This window comes from Homo sapiens, chromosome 14 (assembly GCF_000001405.40).
Source record: "Homo sapiens chromosome 14, GRCh38.p14 Primary Assembly".
Classification (NCBI taxonomy): domain Eukaryota; kingdom Metazoa; phylum Chordata; class Mammalia; order Primates; family Hominidae; genus Homo; species Homo sapiens.
In genome coordinates this window covers 69,049,654-69,064,290 of record NC_000014.9, presented here as the reverse complement: position 1 = coordinate 69,064,290, position 14,637 = coordinate 69,049,654, and the positions used below count along the sequence as shown (strand labels likewise).

The following is a 14,637-nucleotide window of genomic DNA, read 5'->3' as shown; positions in this document are numbered from 1 at the left end:
AGAAATGCTACTTGTCATAATGAACCTTATCTAGAAGAAATAGACCCAAAGGAACTTTTTGGGGATGGTAGGATCTCTCTGTCAAGACAACTATTTTTGGGTTCTTTAGATTCCTATTTATCCCTCTTCCCTAATTCTCTCTAGTTTATTTTCATTTTGACTGGCCCAGCTTCCCTTTCATACCACCTTAGGAAGCCAGTGCTAGGGGTTCCCACCATGGCAGTCTACATCAGTGCCTAACTTTTCCTTGTCCTCTTTCTCCATGAAAAATCCACTAATCCTGTGTCCTAGTCCCTCTCTTTTTTTATGGTTTATTAGCAAACTTGATGTTGGGCTGAGATATGAATACGATAAATATATTTTCCATTCTGGACAATTCAAATATTATTGTCAAATATGGAGAAAAATTTTGTCACCCATCAAATAGATTGAGCACCTAAAGCTGGCTGAGTGAGTAGATGGGTGCAGTCTGGAACCTTTTGCTGTCATAAAAAAGATATGTACGTGGCAATAAGGAGGTATCTCTTCCATGAGACAAAAGAAGAGTTGTGTTAGGGGGCCAAAAGCAGAAGATACCCCTAGAGCCATATTATTTCTGGGGAAGGGACATTGTTGTAGTCATTTTCCCTCCAAACACAGACATTGAGAAATATTTGGAATGAGTGTTTGAACAAGGTGGAGTTGGGAGTGGAAGGAGGCACTTGGAGCAGAGACTGTCTAATGATACTTTGTGGCCTAGTGGCGCCATGCTCCTGGTAGGGACTAAGAGGGGATCCCTTGAGTAGATAAATGAACACTCATTTGTTTGTGTCTGGATGCAACACATTTTGCCAGTTAGCCAAATGCACATGTTTCTCTGTGTGTCCTGAGTTGTCTGATTGCTCAGAAGGAACTTGATCAGAATTTATGTGCATGTGTTCTGGATGGATGTGATACCATTACCAGTGCAGTGGAAACTTTGAATTTATCCCAAGTTCATAAATGATAACATGTTTATCTATGTTACAAGTTCCAGGCCTCTGGCACTTTTCTCATTCACTGAAGAAGGAAGCCTATAGGATGATCCTTAAAATACAGCTTTCTATCGATGTCCTCTTGACTTTAATCTATACATGGTATCTTTAAGGCCCACTCTCTAATTCTGATTTTCAATACTTGGACCCTGCTTATTATGAAAGTGATCCAAATTTTTCTTTCTTTCTATATCCTTAGTTCTCCCTGCTATCGGGGGGAAAAGTATTCTCTCTATTATTTCCCCCAGTGGTTTTGGTTTTTATGGGGTTTTTTGTTTTGTTTTGTTTGCTGTCTTCATCATAGAAACTGAGGGCAAATGGATTAGAGATGTTTTTTGTACATTTAAGTCATTATATGCTTCTGGTTCTGCGTGTCCTTGGTCCAGCTGCCTAACTATTCCCAAGCAGTTCAGTCTCATTTTGCTCATGGTTGGCCTTTTCTAAGGTAACACTTGGATTCTATCTTGGGGATCAAAAATTTGAGAAATGTTTTAAGTGGCTTTGGTTTCATTGACAATGGAATTGCAGTGGGTGAGTGTGGGCAATGCTTAAAGGCTAAATAAAGGCTCTTCATAAGAGCACATATGCTGAGAGCTGTTTCATCTTCTCTCTTTCCATAGCAACTTATCTGTAAGATTAAGCATTCTGCTGGTGGTATAATCCAAAAATCTTTGCTCCCATTCAGAGCTGTTTATCTGCCATTACTGGAACCTATTTACTTTCATTCATTTCATCATCTGATTTTTGTTTCCTTCTGTTTTCCCAGGTGGCATTGGTAGGGTGGTCAACGGAGCCTTCATGGTGCTGAAAGGGCATCGATCTATTGTTAACCAAGTCCGATTTAATCCCCACACCTACATGATCTGCTCTTCTGGTGTAGAAAAGATTATCAAGGTGAGGCACCTTCCCCTTCTGTCCTTTTAGAGAAATTCTCACAATTTATAATTAGAAGAAACTAGAACAATTTATGTAGGACCTCATATTTAAACATACTAAAGGTCTATCAGAATTCTCAGATTTTAACATATTACAAAATATTAGAAAGCTGATATTAAAAAGTGATGCCAGGCATAGTGACAGTACCTGTAGTCCCAGCTACTTGGGAGGCTGAGGCAGGAGGATCACTTCAGCCTAAGAGTTTGAGGCCAGCCTGGAGAACATAGCAAGACATCATCTTAAAAAATAAAATAAAAAATAAAAATAAATAAATTTTAAAAAAAGAAGAAAGAAAGGTGATTTAAAATGCTCTTTTCAGAACCATTTAGTTTTTCATTAAAAAAATTTTTTTAGAGACAGGGTGTTGCTGTGTTGCCCAAGCTGGATTCAAACTTCTGGGCTCAAGCGATCCTTCTGCCTGAGCCCCCCAAAGTAGCTGGAACTACAGGCATGCACCACTGTACCTGGCTTGGAACCATTTTTTTAAACTAATCACTAGGCTTTGAAACAGAGGTTGTCTTCTAGACACTACCTTGTATGCTGCAACATTTTCAAAAGCCTTTGGCCTTGAGTATAATGTATTCTGTTTTCCAAACCTCATCTGGAGGTTAGGAGAGCCACTATGCCCTCAGTTACTTTGTATGTACTTTGCATTAATTGCCATCCTAATATGGCATGGATAAAACTACTGATTGCCAGAATCATAGTTAAATTGTCTCAGGATATATCACAAAAACTACTGCATGTGGTTGTAATTGAGGCTACTTGGGTATGAATACTAAATACTTGGATCATTTGCACATTGGCTGAATGAACTCACCTCTACCAGGAAATGTTTTTATAACTGCAAAAGTGGGTCCTAGCCTGGCCTGTGTCCACAGAAGGATGACCCACTGCCCATCACTTGTATTCCAGTTGCTAGTACCATTTTTTCCACATCTGAGAAAATGAGAATTCACGGTAAATGATTAATTCTTGAGGTCCCTGAGATAATGACTTTTAAGTAAGAATAGGTGATGTTCCTGCCAAAAGCTAAAATACCTCGATTTTGCCTGGGTGTGGTGGCTCACACCTGTAATCCCAGTACTTTGGGAGGCTGAGGCAAAAGGATCACTTGAGCCCAGGAGTTTGAGACCAGCCTGGGCAACATAGTGGGACGTGGTCTCTACAAAAAATTTAAAAATTAGTGTATACCTGTGGTTTTAGCTACTTGGGAGGCTAAGGCTGAGGGATTGCTTGAACCTAGGAGGTCGTGCTACAGTGAACCATGTTCCCACCACTGCACTCCAGCCTAGGCAACAGAGTGAGACCCTTGTTTAAAAAAAAAAAATCCTCAATTTTTTTATTAAAATGACTTTGAAAACCTGAGAGTTTTCAGAGAAAAAAATAAAAATTGTGATTATTTTATTTCATAATTTTCATTTTCTTTTGTTCTTAAAAAAATAACTATCCAGAGCTAAATCAAATTGTACTTCATGGCAGGGGGCAGCTGTCAGAAATAAAATATTGAGGCCAGGCGTGGTGGCTCACGCCTGTAATCTCTACACTCTGGGAGGCCGAGGCAAGTGGATCAGCTGAGGTTAGGTGTTCGAGACCAGCCTGGCCCAAATGGTGAAACCCTGTCTCTACTAAAACTACAAAAATTAGTCGGGTGTGGTGGTGTGTGCCTGTAGTCTCAGCTACTCAGGAGGCTGAGGCAGGAGGATCACTTGAACCCAGGACGCGGAGGTTGTAGTGAGCCAAGATTGTGCCACTGCACTCCAGACTGAGTGACAAAGCGAGACTCTGTCTCCAAAAAAAAAAAGAAATATAATATTGGCATGTAGGTCAGTATTTTTATTTGCCCTTAGTCCAACTTCCTTGATTTAGGCTTTGCTGGTCTTGTGGATCAGAGCTGACTTTCATTGCAGCACACATTTCCCCGTGGGGCTAGAATGAGGAAATCATTTTTACTTTTTCGTTTTACAGATGATGAGATTTAAATTATAAATTAACTGTCCAAGGTCACACAGCTAATTGGTGGCAAAGCTAGGATAGAGCCCTGCCCTTTGTTCTTCCCAGTCACCACCACATTTGCCATGCTGGTGGGAAGGCAGCAAGCATCCTGATTCTGCTGCTGGATTCTATCCTTTCAGTAGGGCAGTCATTGAAATGGCCCAGTCCCTTGCATTGCTTTCCCTTCTCCTTTGGCTGATGACTAATGGGTTGACTCTGTAACGTGTCCTCTCCGGGCCTGTTGACGTCATTCTGTTTCTCAGAGAGCTTTCTGCTTGGGTATCTCCTTTACAAGAGGAATTCCTGCTTGAGTGTGCACTCTGGGATGCTTCTGTGATAAATCTCCCTATTTATTGTTTAGTCAACTGAAGTCCTTGCCCTAAATGTCATATGTTGCAAACTAGCCAAGTTCTCAGAGGAAAAAGAGAAAAAAGTGTTTTATCTGTGAGGTTATCCAGACTGAACTATGGAGCTCACTGCTCCCTAGTTTGCATGGGATCTGAACCCTCTTCCACCAGGAGGCACATTTAGCCCTTTGAAACATTAAGTATGTACAGATGATCATAGTGAGAAGGAAAGCAAAAAGCTCTGGAGTCCTCAGCTTTGCTGTCTCACAGGTGTCATCCCCATTCACAGTCTGGCTGGGAATGGCATGGCACTAAGCATTGCAGGAAGGCAGGTGGTAAGGAGAAGGATGAGACCAATGGCCATGCTGGCCTCATCTCAATTGGAATTACTGCCTCACCCTGCACTTACGTTATCCTGAAAGGCCGCTGAGTCTCGACCCTTGGTTCTGTCTCCCATCTGGAAAGTGAGGGTGCTGACAGTGACTTACCACCCAGGAGTGCCTTGTGAATTACCTGTGCCTAACTCCTATTTTAATAAATGTCACTTTCCTGCCTGCTATTTCTGAGAGGATCAGTGGCTCAAAGAGCGTTAGCCACCACATTCTGGTCCAGCCTGAGACCTGCTTTTCTCTCTCTACTCCCCCTTCTTTCTGTCCTTGTCCTTTACTGCCACCTTCCTGGCTAGGAGAAGAGTCCCTATTGTCAGGGACAACACAGGGAAACCCCATCTCTATGAAAAATTTAAAAATTAGCCAGGCATGGTGGTGCCTGCCTGTGCTCTCAGTTACTCGGGAGGCTGAGGTGGGACGATCACTTGGGCCCAGGATTGAAGCTGCAGTGGGCCATGTTCATGCCACTGCACTCCAGCATGGGTGACAGAGTGAGACCCTTTCCCAAAAATAAAAGCGTATCATGATCACTTGTGTAACCCAAACACTTGTCACTTAATTGCTTTCCATTTTTATGATGTTTGAATAAGAATTGAACTGCATCCTTTTTCTCAGCAGCCCCTTAAGCTAAACTTCACTGTGCATGGAGAGGAAAATATTTGTCTCATCTCTCGTCTTGTCTCTTCACTTCTTCCTTTCTTTTCCTTCTTTTCTTTCCTTTTTTTTTTTTTTTTGAGACAGGATCTTACTGTGTCACCCAGCAGGCTGGAGTACAGTGGCACGATCATGGCTCACTGCAGCCTCAACCTCCCCAGGCTTAGGTGATCCTCCCATCTCAGGCTCCTGAGTAGCTGGGACTTCAGGTGTACACCACCACTCCTGGCTAATTTTTGTATTTTGTAGAGACGGGGTTTTGCCATGTTGTCCAGATTGGTCTCAAATTCCTGGGCTCAAGCGATCCTCCTGCCTTGACGTCCCAAAGTCCTGGGATTACAGGTGTGAGCCACCACGCCTGGCTCTTTCTCATGAACTTTGCCCGATTATGAGACATGTCTAGCCATATATATATATATGTATTTTTTTTCTTTTTTGAGACAGGATTTCGCTCTTGTCACCCAAGCTGGAGTGCAGTGGCGCGATCTCGGCTCACTGCAACCTTTTCCTCCTGGGTTCAAGCAATTCTCCTGCCTCAGCCTCCCGAGTAGCTGGGACTACAGGCACCTGTCACCACGCCCAGCTAATTTTTGTATTTTTGGTAGAGACAGGGTTTTACCACGTTGGCCAGGCTGGTCTCGAATTCCTGACCTCAAGTGATCTACCCGCCACGGCCTCCCAAAGTGCTAGGATTACAGGCTTGAGCCACCACGCCCGGCTGCCACATTTAACATGTAACAGGAAGTTGGTTTTTCATTGATTCACTTCTGAGTTGTTAACTTTCCAGTGTAAAGAGATTACCAATTTCACAAATGGTTGGAATTTATATATTAATACTAAGGATTAGGACCAAGATAATAGGAACGGTCAGTACTTATAATGTTCAGAAGTTTCTCTGAGGGTGGGTTTTAACATTCTGGTTGAGGCATTCAATTGCCAAATGAAAGAGAAAACATCACATTTATTGGTGTTGGGTATGGGCTTTGGTATCATTCTCATTTACACATATGAGAAACAGGCTTTCAAGTGTGAGGTCATTTGCTCAGGGCCACAGGAAATGACAGGTCTGGGGTTCCTACCTGCTCCCCTTACTGCTGAAGTGCTGTACTGTGTGTCTGGAGTGAAGGTTTTGTTTTGCTCTGAATCTTAGGATTGGATGAGACCCATCTAATTTACTGTTTAGAGGAAGGAGCTGCGCATCACCCACTAACTAGGAGTCAGTGGGAACCCCTACTCAAGACTCCTGCCTCTTAATCCTGTGTTTCACTCCATTACTCCAGGCTTCAGGAATGAACAGTCTACCTCAGCTTAATACATTCCAGAGCTCAAATGCAAACTAACTTTCAGTGTTATGACTTTCATTCCTGAAGGGAAAATGTAGGAGCTGGGTAGTAATACACTGGAACTTAAAAATGGGCTTAGTAAGGAGTTAAGCCAGCATCTCACTGTTGTTATTTTGTACTTTAGTTAACTAGTTGTGAGTTTCTGTGAGGTACAAATAGATTTATCTTCATATTAGAGAACATGGTTAATGACATTTTACCACTTTTAAACTGGAGAGGTGAGAGATTTGGCTCAGAATTACAAATAAGATGCAAAAAAAAAAAATCCTAAGGGCTTTCCCTTTTGGACCCCTCAGCTTCCTTTCTAAGCCACCAAGCTCTTTTATTCCCTTAGACATCTCTTTGCAGAGATAGTAATTATAGCTTAAGCCACATGCTGGAGACCATGTGTAAACCTTCAGATAAACCCTTTATTTTATTCTGCTTATTTTATGGTAACTGTAGTCTAGTGTTTCTCAAAAGTTGATCTCCCTACTTACTCATCCCTTGAGTGGTTAAAAATGCATGGTCCTGATACCTGTTCATGACTTACTGAATCAGAACCTCTAAGAGTGGGACTGAGGAATCAACATTATAATTGCTCTTCTGGTGATTCTTGTGCACTCCAAAGTGAAAACCAATCCCTTGAAACTCTCTAGGGTAAGATTATGAAGCTGGAGAGGAGAGAACATCTGAGCCACATCTAGAGTTATGGGTAGGGAACAAAGTTGAAGGAGGAATGAATCTGAGTTGGAAACTGGTGGAGAGATGCTAATCTAGAAGGTTTCTTCAGCCTCTTTGGAAATGGGGGGTCCTCTGCAGAGATACCACCTCTCAGGAATTGCCAAGTAAAGCATGGCAGGAATGGGACTCAGGAGAATTCCCACAGGGAGGTGCATTTGTCCTTAGATAGCTTTGGGGAAACGAAGTCTTGGTCTAGATGAAGGATGGGGAATTGAGGGGCCACTGTTTTCTGGGTTGGATGCCATCTAAAGATAGACACCAGCCTGTCAGGCAAGAAGATTGCCTGGGATTTCATCTGAGTTGCCATGACTACAGGCTGATGTAACTGGGCTGCTCTGTGCTGCTGTGAACCAGTCTGGCAGTCAGGTGGAGCTAATCGTTCTCGTTTGCAGTGACAGCTTAATTACCTTGCACTTGATTTTGCATAACAGTAAAGTTAAGCCTTTAAGTCAGGCAGACCTGAGTTTGAATCCTAGCTCTGCTGCCTTTTAGCTATGAGTCCATGTCCCTGACCATGGAGTGGAGGGGTATTATGAGTGGGGCTGCAGTTACCTGTCCTTGGGGCATGTGTCCTACCTACTCCTATAGCTAACAGACTTGTTGGGGATTAAGCCAGCAGCTCCCTGGTTAAGAGAACCCAGTTTCCTGGGTAACTAGTGCCTGTATGTCCAAGAGGGAACTGCAGTGTAGGCAGTTGGCTATTCTTATCAAGCTCCAGTGAGCAATTCCCATTAGTTAAAAATAGGAATGTTGCAGTTGGGCAGAAGTGGAGCTATAGGCTCAGATATTAACTACCATGGAGGGCTGAGTGCTGGGTCTGTTTTCATTTGGGAAAAGTGGTACCTCTCTGTGCACAGCTTCAGTCTTCTGAAAGTCTTTAACACCTTGGGAAATCTTCAAGTCATCCTCTATTCTCCAGGATTATTATTATAATGTCCAACTACTAATAGATGAAACTAAAAGGGAGGAAGATTCTGGTGGAGAAAGTATGTGATTACCCTGGGCCAAGAGACAGGACTTAGGTAGGTCTCTTGACACTAGGCTAATACTGTGTTCTAGACCATGCATTTCCCCACATCTGATTCTAAAAACCTCAGTTTTCATACATAACCCACATGATCCAGTCTGGTAAAGAACTTATTTTTAAGTTGGTTAGCAAGTCCTAGTTAAATTACAGGGAGAGTCTGGGGAAGTTCTGCCTTGGTGTTCTTTATCACCACCAGTGAAAGAATACTTTCCAGTTACTCCTTGTTGCTTTTGTTTTTCATTTTCTGTTCAGATCTGGAGCCCATACAAGCAGCCAGGATGTACTGGAGACCTCGACGGTCGGATTGAGGACGATTCCCGCTGCCTCTATACCCATGAAGAGTACATCAGCCTTGTGCTGAACAGTGGGAGTGGCCTGTCGCATGACTACGCCAACCAGTCGGTCCAGGAAGACCCCCGGATGATGGCCTTCTTTGACTCACTGGTACGCCGAGAGATCGAGGGCTGGAGCTCTGACTCAGACAGTGACCTCAGTGAGAGTACTATCCTCCAACTGCACGCTGGGGTCAGCGAGCGCTCAGGCTACACTGACTCAGAGTCTTCGGCCTCATTGCCTCGCTCCCCGCCTCCCACAGTAGATGAGTCTGCCGACAACGCCTTCCACCTGGGGCCCCTGCGGGTCACCACCACAAACACAGTAGCCTCAACTCCACCAACACCCACGTGTGAGGATGCAGCCTCTCGCCAGCAGCGTCTGTCTGCTCTGCGGCGCTACCAAGACAAACGCCTCCTGGCCCTTTCCAATGAGTCCGATTCTGAGGAGAATGTCTGTGAGGTGGAACTAGACACAGATCTCTTTCCCCGGCCACGGTCACCCAGCCCCGAAGATGAATCCAGCAGTTCCAGCAGCTCTAGCAGCTCTGAGGATGAGGAGGAGCTGAATGAACGCCGAGCCTCTACCTGGCAGCGGAATGCCATGCGGCGCCGACAGAAGACAACCCGAGAAGACAAGCCCAGTGCCCCAATCAAGCCCACCAACACTTACATTGGAGAAGACAACTATGATTACCCCCAGATCAAAGTGGATGACCTCTCCTCCTCCCCAACCTCGTCCCCTGAGCGGAGCACTTCCACGCTAGAGATTCAACCAAGCCGGGCATCACCAACTTCTGACATAGAATCAGTTGAGCGAAAAATTTATAAAGCTTACAAGTGGCTCCGCTACTCTTATATCTCCTACTCAAATAACAAAGATGGAGAGACCTCCTTGGTGACCGGGGAGGCAGATGAAGGGAGAGCAGGAACCAGCCACAAAGACAACCCAGCCCCTTCTTCCAGTAAGGAAGCCTGTCTAAACATAGCAATGGCCCAGAGGAACCAGGACCTGCCACCTGAAGGCTGCAGCAAGGACACTTTTAAAGAAGAGACTCCTAGAACTCCCAGCAATGGCCCAGGCCATGAGCACAGCAGCCATGCTTGGGCAGAGGTGCCAGAGGGTACCTCTCAGGACACTGGCAATAGCGGCTCTGTAGAGCACCCTTTTGAAACCAAGAAGCTCAATGGAAAGGCCCTGAGCAGTCGGGCTGAGGAGCCGCCTTCTCCTCCTGTCCCCAAGGCATCTGGCTCCACTCTCAACAGCGGGTCTGGCAACTGTCCCAGGACCCAGTCTGATGACAGTGAGGAGAGGAGCCTCGAAACCATCTGTGCCAACCACAACAATGGACGCTTACACCCTCGTCCCCCTCACCCTCACAATAACGGGCAGAACTTGGGGGAGCTGGAGGTGGTGGCCTACTCTTCCCCAGGACACTCAGACACTGACCGTGATAACTCGTCCCTGACAGGGACACTCCTACACAAAGATTGTTGCGGGTCTGAAATGGCCTGTGAGACCCCCAATGCTGGAACAAGAGAGGACCCCACTGACACCCCAGCCACAGATAGTAGCAGGGCTGTTCATGGCCACAGTGGCCTCAAAAGGCAACGAATTGAATTGGAAGATACAGATTCAGAGAATTCCTCCTCAGAGAAGAAATTAAAAACATGATAAATACAAAGGGAAAACAAAAAGCTACAAAAGTAGCCTTACAAAAAAAAAAAAATTGTTTAGTGAATACAGAGGAAAGGAAAAACAAGTATTAAAGGCACATGAAACCAGGGCCTGAAATTTTGTGTCTGATGCTGCTCCCTTCTATCCAACATTCAACAACGGGTCTGAATGTCTAGCTGGCCATTGGCTTGTGCTGTGTTAAGAAAGGGGAAAAAAAAATAACCCAAGTGACTCCTTTCTAGTGAGACGTGAGCGTAGTGTGCCGCGCAAGGCTCTGTGGAAGTAAATCTTTGTTGAGACGTTCGACTTGTTCTTGTGTACGCACAATGGCACGTGTGCGCTTATTGTCTCATAAGACCTTCCTTTTAGTTCTCCATCAGAAAGGACCTATGAATTTGTACTTTTTGCCATCTCACCCTGTTTACATGCCATAGGTGTTCTGGTCTGGATGATGGGTGCCTGTTAAATCAGGTTGTGCTGCCAGTGAGTTGTAGATTTATGCTGGAAGAATGGAGAATGGAAACAGGCCTTCAGCCCATTGGCTGCGCTGGAGAGGAAAGCATGGTTCCTTTCTTAAAGAAATCTTCCATGTTTTCTCTAAGTAACACTTCTTTATTGAGCATTTAATGTGGACATACTATAAAAAAGAATTTTTAATGCTAATGAGAGGTTTAGCACTTAAGATCAGATTCAAGAGAATATAGATTCCTGATAAATTTCACTGTTTGCAAATTGAGCAGTGCTGCAACATGTACTGTATGAAGGCCATAAAATAGAGCTAGTCATGGATAACAGACTTTAACCAGTTAGGTGCTAGATCCTAAGAGGCACTCACAAGGCCAGCAGGTGCTTCCTTGGCTCCCATGATCGATCGAGGCATAGTGAAAGAAGGGCAAAGACAGCTTTCCAGAGCTTTGTGCTCAGGCTACTAAAGTAGTTGTTATAGGTGTGTTAACGAAGAAGCTTAGTGAGGAGCAGAATGTGGTACTATATTCATTTAACTCAACCCAGAACCATTGGTCAGAATTGGTGGGACTGGCATCTTCCCTCAGACTTGCAGTTGATAGAGGCTGTGGTGTTCTCACTAGACTTTGCAGAGCAGTAGGCATCTCAAGGTAACAGATTCTTATTGAGTAGGTCTATTAGGAGTCAGAAGGTGTTGGGGAGGAGTCTCTGGCTTATGACTCCTGGTTCCCATTAGTCTTAAGTCTTCTGGTTCCCATAAAAGACTCAGTTTTATTGAGGTAGATACAGGTTTAGAAGAGAAAAGAGCAACAGATTTTCAGCGTTGCAGTCACTCGGTTATCTATGAAGGGTTGTGCAAAACAGGAAGGTCTGGGAATGACCAGATATCTTGTTGGCATAAATGTTATGAAAAGGCAGAATACTGGCAAGAAATGAGGAAGAGAGAGAAAAACAATATAACTTTCTTGAGTGCAAAGGTGCTAGACAACTAGGAGCCCAGCTGGGATTGGTGTAGGGAGGGCCGAACGCTGACTAGTGTGGCCTCACTGCCCCAGGCTTCCTTTCAGAGGAAGGCCTGTCCTGCTGGAACTGGAGCCAAGGGGAGGCTGCCTATGAAGGCAGAAGATGTGGATGAATTCAGGCACTGGGGGTGGGGGGGTTATTTATAAACACAAGGTGGTTGGTTTAAGCCAAAAGGAGATACCATCCTGATAAGCTCTGTGAAAGAGAAGATGTGCCTGGTGTGTGTAATGCGGCTGGGGTATGAAAACACTGAGAAGGAGATGAAGGAGTGTGTGTAGCATGGGGGTGTGTACAACTTAACACCTGGACTTTTACTGGGGGAGTGGGAAAGTGATTCTGTAACCAACATTAGAATTACTTTGGATTTGTAATCAGATTGGTTCTATGATTTGTCTTTGACTATTCACAGATAATTGTAAATGCTGGTTTTATAAGCCCAAGTCATTTTACATTTGCTTTTCCAAAATGTATTAAATTGGAATTTTTTAATCCTTTATATACAAAAAAAATACGATCACTCAGTGTGTGTTTCTCTTCCCCTTCTTAGTCAGCACACCCAGTCCTTTATTTTATTCTATTCTATTTATTTTATTTTAATAAGTACTTAGCCTCTTCTGACTTCTCAAAGGACAATCGGATACATATCTTCCTGAAAAGAAGTAGTTAAAGTTCCCTTGGGAACTAGCTACTTGGTAGTTACAATTCCCAAATGCAGAACTTGGTCTTTTCATGTTAAAAGCCTTAATCTCATTTGGGTACTCAAAAGAGAAATCAGAGTTTATTCTGGTTAACTTGAGAAGCCAAGAAAGATCATTTTTAGCAAGTATGCCTTCCATCCTTGGCAGAGGCTTCCCAGCATCCTAGGCTCAGCTTACCGGGTGATAGGCCCCATAAGACACACACATGAGCAGGGTGAGAAATGCTTGCTTTATAGCTGCTCCACCCTCATCTCCAGAGATTTTGTGTCTATGGTTGTGGGTCTGGAAACCTGGCAGGAACCACTTCTAGAGTACCTTTGCCTAAACTCTTTTAGAATTGAGGCCCCAACTTTGATGGCACATTTAATACCCAATTTCTTCCATAATAGATATTTTTAATAGCAGGACAGATGGCACTGATTAGATCAAGAACTATTTGGAAGTGCCTCTTATGTTTTTTTCCTGCATTCTGTACATAAAGTTTTAAGTGGCAGGTCCAGATATGTAAAATCATTTCTCTCTATTTTCCAGCTGGTTTTGTTAATGATTCTCTAGGACAGCAGGTAAATGAGTTAAGTTGTTGGCTTGGGGCAAGTGAAGTTTGTGACTATGCTTGATTTAATAAGCTGAGAGTCTCTTGTTTGTCTGTCAAGGTGCCTTCCTCTGCTGAAGCCTTACCTCCTTCTCACCCAGTAACGGTTAACTCTTCTCTTGTGTATATGCAAATAAACCTATTATTCACTTCTCACGTCTTCCTCTTCTCTTCCAGGGAAGACTTGGTTGCTTAGACACCTCTCCTTTATTTCTTTTCTGTTTTAATTCTTGCCTAGTTGGAAACTTGATTGAAAGCTATGCTGAAAACTAGAAGAAAAACTGCAGTGTTCCACATCCATGACAATGGTCATTGTCACTTTTAGGTATTGGGACAAAGGTCACATCTGGACAACAAAATGCAGGGTAGGAGGAGGTATTTATTTGTTCTCCTTAACAGGTTTAAAGGGACTTAAGATAGCGAGACTCTGGAACTGATAATTTTATTAGTTGGAACAGAGGGAACAATGCAGTGAAGTGACATTACAAACAGCTCCCAAAGAAATATTTTCTGATGTTTCCAAATACCAAATTGCATTTCCTGCCTTGCTCCAGGCATGCACTGCAAACTTTTTTCTAAAAAAAAAAAAAGCAAAACTCGTATCTCCTGCCTGTAAAGCTGCCTGCTACAGTTAACTGAAAAATTCTTGCCAACCAAGGCTTGTCAGGAAAACAGACGCTTCCAAAGGAAGACTGTCCTTCCCCCATGACCTAAGCAAGACAACATGCCATGATTGAAACACCAAGGTGAAGTAAGGCTCAGTGAGTCCCAGCCTTGCAGCAGCAGGATAGTGGTTTTGAACAAACTGTGTGGTTCTCAGGTGGGATATTCCGATCTGAGTGCTAATTTGTCCTTGAGCACTCATATTGGAATTAAATTACATGAATTCAAATAGTTAAAAGTAATTTTGAATTTCTCAGTGATGCTTCTCACATGCAATAGTGCACGTGGATCGAAAACCTGTCTGAATCCTAACTGCATTTCATTGTTAGAACAGTGGTGGTAAGATGCTTCTCAGAATGGAGGCTTAGAGGCAAAGCTTAAACTTCCCTGTGCCCTGCACTTAACATTGCCTGGATAAGCAAGAGGAGTTACTCTGTTCAATTCACAACAGGATTTACTCGAATGTGCAGATGATCTAGCAGTGCTTATCTGCAAGATGGTCACGTTGTAAGGAAACAGGATATCTAATGTTTCAAAATACTGAAGTTGGGAAATGACTCCTTTGGGCTTATGGCCCAAAGCCATGAGCTTGTGGAATATTCCAGCCAAAGTACAGAATGCTAGCTTAGAAGTCTATCTGCCTTTGTTAGTTCCCCTACTAAAGCTGGGAAAGACAATAAAGCCCCTAAGATATCCAGGGGCTCACCCAGACTCCTTAGGCATAAGGGAAGTTTTTGTTATCTAGGGAAGCTGGGAGGG

At 43.8% G+C, this 14,637-nt stretch overlaps 1 protein-coding gene across 13 annotated transcripts in view, besides 2 other annotated features; it reads left to right on the top strand.

Annotated features, from left to right (window-relative positions):
* The window catches only part of DCAF5 (DDB1 and CUL4 associated factor 5), a 102,317-nt gene extending 88,907 nt beyond the window's left edge, over positions 1-13,410 (top strand). For 11 of the 13 annotated variants that reach the window (XM_006720298.3, XM_006720297.3, XM_011537278.2 and 8 more), the window contains 2 exons: positions 1,780-1,907; positions 8,680-13,410. In XM_006720298.3, the coding sequence (XP_006720361.1) occupies positions 1,780-1,907; positions 8,680-10,434 (1,883 nt within the window). In that variant the 3' untranslated portion in view covers positions 10,435-13,410. The remainder of the gene's footprint in view (positions 1-1,779; positions 1,908-8,679) is intronic. The other 2 variants (NM_001284206.1, NM_001284207.1) reach the window with 1 other exon arrangement.
* Positions 7,497-8,064: an enhancer, noted in NCBI's record as "OCT4-NANOG hESC enhancer chr14:69522944-69523511 (GRCh37/hg19 assembly coordinates)". NCBI's record gives its function as "activates a minimal SCP1, AML or CMV promoter by ChIP-STARR-seq in naive and primed H9 embryonic stem cells {active_cell/tissue: H9 hESC(naive and primed)}" and the evidence as "EXISTENCE:reporter gene assay evidence [ECO:0000049][PMID:30033119]".
* Positions 8,195-9,394: an enhancer, noted in NCBI's record as "BRD4-independent group 4 enhancer chr14:69521614-69522813 (GRCh37/hg19 assembly coordinates)". NCBI's record gives its function as "activates an origin of replication core promoter dependent on BRD2, P300/CBP, MED14 and CDK7 cofactors, and independent of BRD4, by STARR-seq in HCT116 cells {active_cell/tissue: HCT116}" and the evidence as "EXISTENCE:reporter gene assay evidence [ECO:0000049][PMID:35650434]".
* Positions 13,411-14,637: the final 1,227 nt, after the last annotated feature.